Source organism: Homo sapiens, chromosome 16 (assembly GCF_000001405.40).
Source record: "Homo sapiens chromosome 16, GRCh38.p14 Primary Assembly".
Taxonomy (NCBI): Eukaryota; Metazoa; Chordata; class Mammalia; order Primates; family Hominidae; genus Homo; species Homo sapiens.
The window spans coordinates 22,976,356-22,986,495 of record NC_000016.10 but is presented as its reverse complement, the minus strand read 5'-3'; the positions used below and the strand labels follow the sequence as shown (position 1 = coordinate 22,986,495).

Below are 10,140 nucleotides of genomic sequence, written 5' to 3'. Positions count from 1 at the left end.
ACAGGCCAGGCTTGGTGGCTCATGCCTGTAATCCCAGCACTTTGGGAGGCTTAGGAGGGTGGATCACTTGAGGTCAGGAGTTAGAGACCAGTCTGGCCAATATGGTGAAACCCCATCTCTACTAAAAATACAAAAATTAGCCAGGCGTGGTGGTGGGTACCTGTAATCCCAGCTACTCGGAAGCCTGAGGCAGGAGAATTGCTTGAACCCCAGAGGTGGAGGATGCAGTGAGCAAGATCACACCACTGCACTCCAGCCTGGGCAAAAAAAAAAAAAAAAAAAAGAGTGGGCAGACAAATTCAAATCTATATGTCACCAACCCTGATAAATACATTTCTCAATAAATTTCCCTAGGGCCATGGTTGTTTATAAGGTCTGAAATCCTCTGATATTTCTTGCAGGCCCAGTTCTCAATTTTGTGTTACTTCCATGCCAGAGATCTTTGACCCCAGATCCTACTGGGACATCAATATAGTGATATTACTAAGGCTTGGTTCCTTACTTTGTAGTGGATCACATTTTTCCAGTTCATTAGAAAAGCATTTACTAGGGGTCTTACACTTTGTGAGTTAGACTTATCCCAGGATCCAGAACATTGATGCAGGACCTGATTACCTAATGATTGGATAGTCTTTATCTGTTGGATAACTTCATTTATAAATCTAGAGCCATGGGGCTATTCATTCATTCAATGAATATGAAATAGGTATGATGAATGCCTACTATGTGCCAGAATCTGTTCAGGAGCTGGGAATAAAAAAGATAAAAATTAAGAAAAGACAGTTCTTACCCTTAAGAGGGTCACAGTCTAGAGGTGGAGACAGACACGTAGAAATTATGGAAAAACTGAAATATTATGTATAATATTTCAAGTTATAATGTTACTATAGAGGTAATCAGGGCATATTTTACAAAACTTATGTTTGATTTGAGTCATGAGGGATGAGTAGGAGTTTGCATATGGCAAAAAGGGGTAAGAATATTTTGAGAGCTAGGACACAGATAAAACATGAGGTATAAAATGTGATTTGAGAGCCCAGTTATTTCTTTGGTTTTATTTTTGTTTGAGCATAATTATTTTTCTCTTTCGAAATTCTAGGATGAAATGTTTTTTCTTCTCTTTAAACATTAGTATTATTTAAGGCTATAAATTTACCTTGTATACTGCATTGGATACATTCCATACTTTCTGGCATGCAGTGTTTTTATGCTGCTTCCCAGAGCAAAACCCTTTGGGTGGAAAATCTAGTTATTAGATAAAGTTCCAATTTGTCAGCATGGCTTAATACAGTCTTTGTGAATGGATTCCTACTTATTTCTCCAATTTAATATACTGCTTTCCACCCTAAAATTCATTTAGTAGCAATATTCACAGTTCTTGAACAAGCCATGTTTTCTCACCTTTATGAATTTGTTCATACTGTTATTTTTGCATGGACTAGAAAAACCTCAGTCATGTTTCCAAAAAACATTTGACTTTAACAAACACTATCTCCCTATGAGTATGCCAGGTTGAGTTAGCAGCAAAATATTCACAGGTACTAAAACATGTTAACTTGCTGTAGAGAGTCATTTAATATTGATCTAATGAATTTGGGGAATGTCTACCAAGACAATAATTTTCAGGTTTACAAGACTGACATCAAGCTATCTCTTTTTATTGCAGTTAAGCACCAGAGTTACTTGTCTCATGAGATTCATGGCAGTAAATCTTGGTATAGGGTATTACAACCATGTCCTCAGCATATGAGCATATGCTTCTCTTCCTATTTTTTATAGCAGAATGACATGGACTCAATTCATGGAGAAGAGTATCAAGTTACCAATGTCTAAGTTAGAGGACTTGGCTGTAATACAACCTTGTTTTTTAAAAAAATGGAGAGAGATTTGATCTGTCCCCAAACTTGTCTTAATTTTTCTTGTTCCTCTAGTGAAATAAAGATACAGACCGTTTAGATGACTTATTACTGGAAAATTTATCTCAAGTTCTTTGATCTTTAGCAATTCTATTCATGAAATCAAAGACCAATGGGGAAAAATTAATAAAAGCTGCCAACAGTCTTACTTTTCTCTTGGCAAATGTCTTCATAAGGCAAAAGAAATTGTGATTAATACAAAACAGATTACTTGAACCCACTTTCTACTCATTTTAGATATCAGGCTGATTTATTCAGAATTGCAATCAGTTGAGTAGGAAACTGGCGTGTAGATTTGAAGGGTTGTCTGGAAAATTAACAGTTCTGTAGCTTTGAGGGAGGATAAAGTTTAAGATTGAGTTCATACAGAGGGAAGAGTACCCTAGGAGCAATGGAAGGAACTGTATAACATAGTCAGAAAAAAACTTTCTAAAGTTCTGATGGCAAAAGATTTTCTGGACCAGCATGTATCAGAGGGGAACTTTTGCATGCATTAGCATCTGCAAAAGGAGCAAGTGTTCATCTCCACTTTATGACACCATTGAGATGTCTTATGCTGTTATGATTTTGACCAAACTTACATAAGACCACTAAATCCACAAACCTGATACTTGTTTGTGGATTTCCTTGTTTAATTTGGTCCTTTCTTTTGGGATTCACATTCTTTCTTCCTAAAATACTTCCTTTAATTTCCTAATGAAGATATTTTATTTTTCTTCAATGGCATTATTTAGTTCCTGTTAGAGAATGATAGTTTAGCTAGGTATACAATTCTAAGTTGACAGCTATTTTCTTTCAGCACATTTAAGATCTCATTCTATTATCTTCAATTTTCCATTGCTGCTATTGAAAGTCTTCTGCTACTCAAACTCCATTGCTTTGTCTTTAATTTCGGCTGGCTTTAATATCTTTTTCTTTGGCAATGGGGAGTAGTTTGAGTATTTTTCAATTTCATTGCAATGTGCGCAGGTGTGAATTTAAAAAAAAAACAGTTTGTATTTGTATGCTTTCTGAGTCCGAGGGTTAATTTCTTTGTCAGTTTGGAAAATCCTCATTTATTCTCTCTGCAAGGGTTGTTTTTCTTCATTATATTCCCTTATTTAGGCAATATGATTAAATACGTATTCTAGAATCAGTGTCTCTTAACCACTCCATAATTTTATATTCTTTATCTCTTTGTGCAATATTCTAGGTAGTTTATTCAGGTCTATTTTCTAGGCCATTATTTTCTCTTCATTTGTTTACAGTCTTTTGGTTTATTTGTTCACTGGGTTTTTAATTTAAATTATTTTTAATTTCCAAGAGTTATATTTGATTATTTTTCACTCTTACCTCTGTTTTTGAATATTTCATTTTTTCTCCTTTTTAAAAATATATATTTCATACTCTGAACTTGATAATTCTACATTGCAGAGTTCTTTGGGGTCTAAAGTTCTTGTGTTCTTCATTGTTTCTACTTATTTTCATTCATGGTTATTCTTTTGTGTATTTTTTAGTTTTTGCTATTGAGCTAATGTTTAGTAAGGTATTATCTGTGGATTCCTGGGTGACCTGGGTTAAGGGTGGGTACCTCCAGGGAGAATTTGCACTTTTTTCTTCTAGGTACTCTGAAGGGCTACCAGTGTGGACTTACTCTTCTAATTTTTCTGCTGGGGTTTTCCAGGCCATGTGGAAAGCATAATTTGAATCTCAGATCCACATGAGAATGACTCTATGGTAAAGAACTGTCAGGGAAATATTTTTCCTTTTGAATTGAACTGATTTCAACAGGTGTCCTCAGTCTTATTCCTTTGCCAGTGGGTGAATTATTTTCTAGGCAAACCTCTCATCAAAAGAATAGCCCTTTGAGGGTCCTGACCTTGTGTGGGTATATTCCTACCATGGGCAGGTCAAGGACTTTGGTCATTTGTCTTCATCTGACTGCTAAAATCTGTAAAACTGTAAAAAACCTCTTGATTACTGAGATTGGCAAATGCCTCTAGGCCTGCTATAGCCTCAGTGTCAACTTGTCACTCTGCTTTTCAGCTCCCACTTCATATTTTGACATCTGGGAATTTATGCTATTTGGATGCTGTTCATATATTCATTTAGAAGAATTTCTACATGTTTTGTGCCAGGGGTTTTCCCAAGATGTCCAACCTATTAGATTATTAGAAACGAAAGTCTCATGTTGTTTTATTTCATTTCTTCCCTTAACAATATATAACATATTTGGTACCAATAAATACTCATTTAAAACATATTTTTATAAATGAAAGTATTTACTTATTTGTATATTTCTTTGTAGATTTCTATGAGAGGTTTTTGTTTTGTTAAATTTTTTTTACAGGCAAATTAAAATATATGGGCTGATTTCTCCATTTTGAAAGTAAGCATTTTTGTCTTTTTTTGGTATGGCAAGCAGGCAATTACTTCTTGTTGCTGCATCTTAACCATAACTTAAGATACCCCCTTGAACTTTTGATCCAGCTATGAATCTTTTGTTTTTTCCTCATGCAGACTTTTTTTCTCTCTTTGGCTAACAGTCTCAGGCACCATTATCATTGTATATGCTTGCCAATGCAACATATAAAAGCAAAAGAGATATACAGACTAAGTGTGTGTGTGTGTGTGTGTGTGTGTGTGTGTGTGTGTGAGAGAGAGAGAGAGGCAGAGAGAGACAGAGAGGGACAGAAACAGAAAGAGAGATTAAAGACCCTCACAGCCACTTAAACTGCAATTCAAATATCTTTATGATAAAGGGGAAAATATCCAATCATTTGATTGCCGCTCTCCCCACCGCCTCCCTCTGTGAGCTCCTAAAACACCACGGTAGCTTAACTAGAGCTGTGGCTATGACTGTTTTTGCATTTCTTAGGGCTGGCATGGGCAGTCTATTGATTTCAGGGTTGCTAATGACTGTGCGGAATAGAAGAAGCTTTTGTGGCCAGACTAAATCCAGACTTGGAATTGCATGACTAACCATTCCTGGGACATCGTCTGCTGAAGTAGTCAAAGTGGGTTTTATTTTTGATAAACTTTCTTTCTCCAGTCTCCTTGTGGCTATAGGAAAGGTACAGCCAGGAAAACAGTCTGGGCAGGGCTTGGTGTCCCCTGGGAGCCTGGGCATTTAACAATAAAAAGGTTGTTTCCTGGGGCAGTGGAGGAGGAAGGTGTCCTTGGATAAGTTTTTGAATATAACACCCACATGAGGCACAAACTTTTCTCAATGTCACCCAGACAGCAAGCCCTTCAGGTATTTCCCCCTGGTTGGCAGCCCTTCTCCCTGGTCTCCTGGGAATACTTACTATATATGGGACAGGTATGGTCCCGAGAGTCCTATTTATGCAAGGTTATGTAAAACGTGCTTACAAAAAGATCCATGCACCAAGCTCTAAGTGAGCAGATGCTTCACACAAACTAAAAATTCCCCTGAGTGCCCAAATCTCAGTTTTTAGAATGTCTCTCACCTCAGTTGGGATGACTAAAGAGGAAGAGAGGCTCCAGTTCTAGCTTCTCCCAGGCATCTGATGAGGCTCCTTGCCTCCTTAGGGCTTCAGCTATGCCCACAACATTTATTTATTTATTTCTTCTTTTTTTTTTTTAAGTTGGGGCATTGCTGGAATATCCTTATGTCGGTGGTGAGCTCCATGAATTGTTCTAAAATGGACTACTCAAAACTCTATAGTTTGAACAAGGGGAAGTGGGGAAACCATCCTTGTCATTCGTCCGTCCATCCATCCATCCATCCATCCATCCATCCACCCATCCGTCCATCCATCCACTCATCTATCCATCCATCTATCCATGCATCCATCCATCTATCCATGCATCTATCCATCCATCCATCCATCCATGCATCCATCCATCCATCCATGCATCCATCCATGCATCCATCCATCCATGCATCCATCCATCCATCCATCCATCCATCCATCCATCCATCCATGCATCCACTCATTCATCCTTCCATGCATGCATCCACACATCTAGCTATCCATTCATCCATCTGTCCATCTACTCATCTGCCTATCTACCCATCCATCCATTCATTGAGTACCCACTCAGTGTCAGGCACTGTGCTGGGCTCTGAGACACAGAATCAAAAAGACAGGCATGGTTCCTGACAACAAAGAGATCACAGTCTGTCAGATGAAATGGATAGAAAACAAATGATTGTGCAATTAATTGCACCAGTAGTAAGCACTGCGCATGAGAAGTGTTGACTCCTCTGTAAGACTCATTGCCAAAGTCATTTTCAGATCCCTACCACTTCTAACCTTCTCCACTGCATCCTCTCTTGTCTAAGCCACCATCACCTTTTGCCTCCTAAGTGGACTTTTTGCTTCATTCTTGCTCCCTTCAATTCATTCTCCACAGAGCAAGCAGAGTGACCCCTGTCACTCTGGCTCCAGTTAAATTAAGCATAATTAATCTAAATTAAACATTTAGATTAATTTAAATTAATTTTGCTTAATTTAATCATGTCACTCCTCTGTTCATCATCTCCCCAGTGCTTCCCATTTCAGAGGGTGACAAGACCTTCACCTTCCAGCCCATGCAGTCCCCCTTTGACCACAGTTCTACCCTGACTCACCCCAGACACAATGGCCTCCTTATTGCTCCTGGAACAACCCACAGTCTCATCTCAGGGCTTTGCACTTGCTCTTTCCTCTACCTGGAATGTTCTTCTCCCAAATATCCATATGTTTGGCTCCTTTGCCACTTCCAGGTCTGTATCCAAATGTCACCTTCTCATTTCCCTGGTTTTTTTCTTCCTTAGCACCTATCACTAACACACTATGTGTTTTCATTATTTATCTGATTTGTTGTCCATCTCTGCTTTGAAATTCAGGTCCAGGGATGATGGATGTTTGTCTGTTTTGTTCTCAGCTGGATCTCTAGCAGCTAGAACAGTTCCTGGCTCATAGTAGGTGATTATTATATATTTATTGAAAGAAAGAAATGAATGAATTTCTGTTTTCTTCTTCGTGGGTATAGTCCCCTCTATCTGTCTTAATAAAGAAACTGGGAGGAAGAGAAAGGGTGGAGAGAGGCACCATTCACATGGCATGGCTCTCCCTGTCTGTTTTTTGGATGGTGGGAAAAAATAAGATATCCTCAAACTCAACTCATCCTAACAGCACTCTTTCTCTTTGCAGAAAGAATATCTTGCTCTTGATGATGGCTTCTGCTTGGGGAGAAGTAAGAAACAGGGTGAGGATAGTGGAAGAGAAGGGGAGCCTCAAGTGACCTTGTTAGAAACCAGCACAGGGGACTTTTGTAGACTGATGAGTGGCTTACAGTGAGTAGATGATGCCACCTTACTGTGGTTTGGGTTTTTCTGGGCAGGACAGGGGCAGTTTCCAGGGCTCTTATGGAAGGGCAAGAGCATCTCTAGCTGGCCACATTGTGAAGTGGAGAAGAGCAGCTCTTATCCATGCTAGGGAAGACCAGCTGGCTTCAGCCATGAGAATGGCACACAGTCAAATTCGGGTCTACCCATGAGCTAAATAGTTGGGTCCAGAAACCGGCCACCTTAACCAAGCTAGTGGTCAAACAGTAAGCCAAGTAACCATTGTTATGGATGGAATGTTTTCATACCCCCCAAAATTAATATGTTGAAACTCTAACCTCCAGTGTGATGGTATTTGAACATGGTTAAATACCATGTCTCCCAAGCTTCAGGAGGTGATTAGGGTTAGATTAGGTCATGAGAGTGGAGCCCTCATGGTGAGATTAGGGTTCTTATTAAAAGAGGAAGGCACACAATAATAATTTAACTTTGCATTTTAAAATAACTAAAAGAGTATAATTGGATTGTTTGTAATCACAAAGGATACATGTTTGAGGGGATGAATACCCCATTTTCCATGCTGTGATTATTAATACCTAGTATGTGATAGCGCAACAGGGTGACTATAGTCAAAATAATTTAACTGCACGTTTAAAAATAACCATGAGTATAATTGGATTGTTTGTAACAAAAAGGATAAATGCTCAAGGGGATGGATTCCCCATTTTCTGTTATGTGATTATTGCACATTGCATGCCTATCCCAAAACATCTCATGTACCCCATAAATATATACAGCTGCTATGTACCCACAAAAATGAAAAAAATTTAAAAGACACAGAAGATATCTCCCCCTCACCTTCCTTCTGCCCCTTCTTATTCCACTTCCTTGCCTCCATCTCTCCATCTCTCCATTCTCTCCTTCCCCCTCCCTCCCCTCCCACTTCCTCCCTTGTCCCTCTGTCTCCTTGCACTCACCAAGGAAAGACCCTGTAAGGTCATAACCAGGAAGAGAGCCTTCACCAAGAACCCAACATGCTGGCACCCTAATCTCAGACTTCCAGCTTCAAGAACTTTGTTGTTTAAGCCACCCAGTCTATGGTGCTCTGTGATAGCAGCCTCAATGACTGAGACAACCAAGAAGCAAACCCAGGTGCCAGGAAGTTCATTCCAGACTCCAAGGTCAAGAGGAGAATTCCCAAACAAGCTGAAAAGCCAGGGTGTTCATGGAGAATGGAGTGCAATGGCAGAGAGTGGTCCGGGGATGAACTTGGGGACAACTCCTAAGCTCATGGAGGGGCCAGTCACTTCCTGAATTTGACTTCCACAGTCAAATCAGACCTCTGTACCCACCACTCATGGGGGGCTGTATTTTTGCCATTCTTTTTTTTTATTATTATACTTTAAGTTTTAGGGTACATGTGCACAACGTGCAGGTTTGTTACATATGTATACATGTGCCATGTTGGTGTGCTGCACCCATTAACTCATCATTTAGCATTAAGTATATCTCCTAATGCTATCCCTCCCCCTCCCCCCACCCCACAACAGTCCCCGGTGTGTGATGTTTCCCTTCCTGTGTCCATGTGTTCTCATTGTTCAATTCCCACCTATGAGTGAGAACATGCGGTGTTTGGTTTTTTATCCTTGCGATAGTTTGCTGAGAATGATGGTTTTCTCTTATGCCCTGCAAAGCCTGGAGTTACTTACTCTCTTAATGCCACTAGGTGGTGACTCTGCTTCAAGGAGTCAAAACCCCAAGGTTATTGATTGGGAGCTAGGCACTTGATAAGCAACGCTGTTACATGCATTATCTCATTTAAACTTCACGGCAACTCTAAGGAGTAAGTGCTATTATTATCCCTACTTTACAGATGACAAAAAGCTGAGGCTTAGCACATTTTAAGAGCTTTGCCTAATGCTATTCTCCAATAGGTGGCTCTCTCAACACACTGCTTTCTGAGTCAGTTTGAGACAGGCAGAAACTGAAGACCATTTTAAAGCTGGACAGTGGTGGTGCTCTCAGATGAGCACATATGTTGAAAAAAAATCATTAATGTTATTTAACGTTCACTTATGGAGCCCTTCCTATGTCTCAAGTGCCAGAATAATGGTTTACAAACACAGTGTAATTTAACCCTCAAAACAACCCTATAGATCAGGCACTGTTGTTACTCTCATTGTGTAGATGAGTTTGTTGACACGTAGAGAGGCTAAGTAAATTGCTGCATAGGTGTGTCTTAGTAGGTGACAGCCCAAAAGCCAAGAGCAAAGTGCTTCAGAGAGCTTTGCCCTGGATTCTAAGTGGGAACTGAGGATCTCTAGGTCTTTGGCCTCTGGCTGGGATCTCAGGAAGGGAGACACTAACCCAACAGAATCCCCAACCCCCTACAAGCAAAAAGCAGTCAGAATTTTGACCCGTCTCAGCTCTGGCCATAAGTGAGGGACGTTGGACAAACAGCTTCCACTGGAGTATAGGGCTCGGTTTTTTCTTCCACAAAAGGCGAGGTTGGACTCTCTCTATATAAAGAAAGACTCCAAATTAGATGCTCGCAGGGCCAAGCGGGTAACAAAAATGAGTGATGTGGATCAGGCAGGGACGGTGGCAAACTGGTGAGCACATGCTGCATTTTAAGGGGCTGTTCTGGCCAATTGCAGTCATGTAGGAATGTAGTCTACTATTGCTAGGTCTTTGATCTTCCAGAAGAATCTGAAAATTCAATCTCCTTTTAAAAAATGTTGGTGGCCGGGCGTGGTGGCTCATGCCTGTAATCCCAGCACTTTGGGAGGCTGAGGCAGGAGGATCATGAGGTCAGGAGATTGAAACCATCCTGGCTGACATGGTGAAACCCCATCTCTACTAATATAAAAAATAAGCCGGGTGTGGTGGCATGCACCTATAGTCTCAACTACTCGGGATACTGAGGCAGGAGAATCGCTTGAACCCGGG

At 40.2% G+C, this 10,140-nt stretch overlaps 1 annotated feature.

Annotated features, from left to right (window-relative positions):
• Window positions 9,545-9,725: a silencer, noted in NCBI's record as "fragment chr16:22988092-22988272 (GRCh37/hg19 assembly coordinates)". NCBI's record gives its function as "represses an EF-1alpha promoter that drives an FKBP-Casp9 reporter gene in an ReSE screen in K562 erythroleukemia cells {active_cell/tissue: K562}" and the evidence as "EXISTENCE:reporter gene assay evidence [ECO:0000049][PMID:32094911]".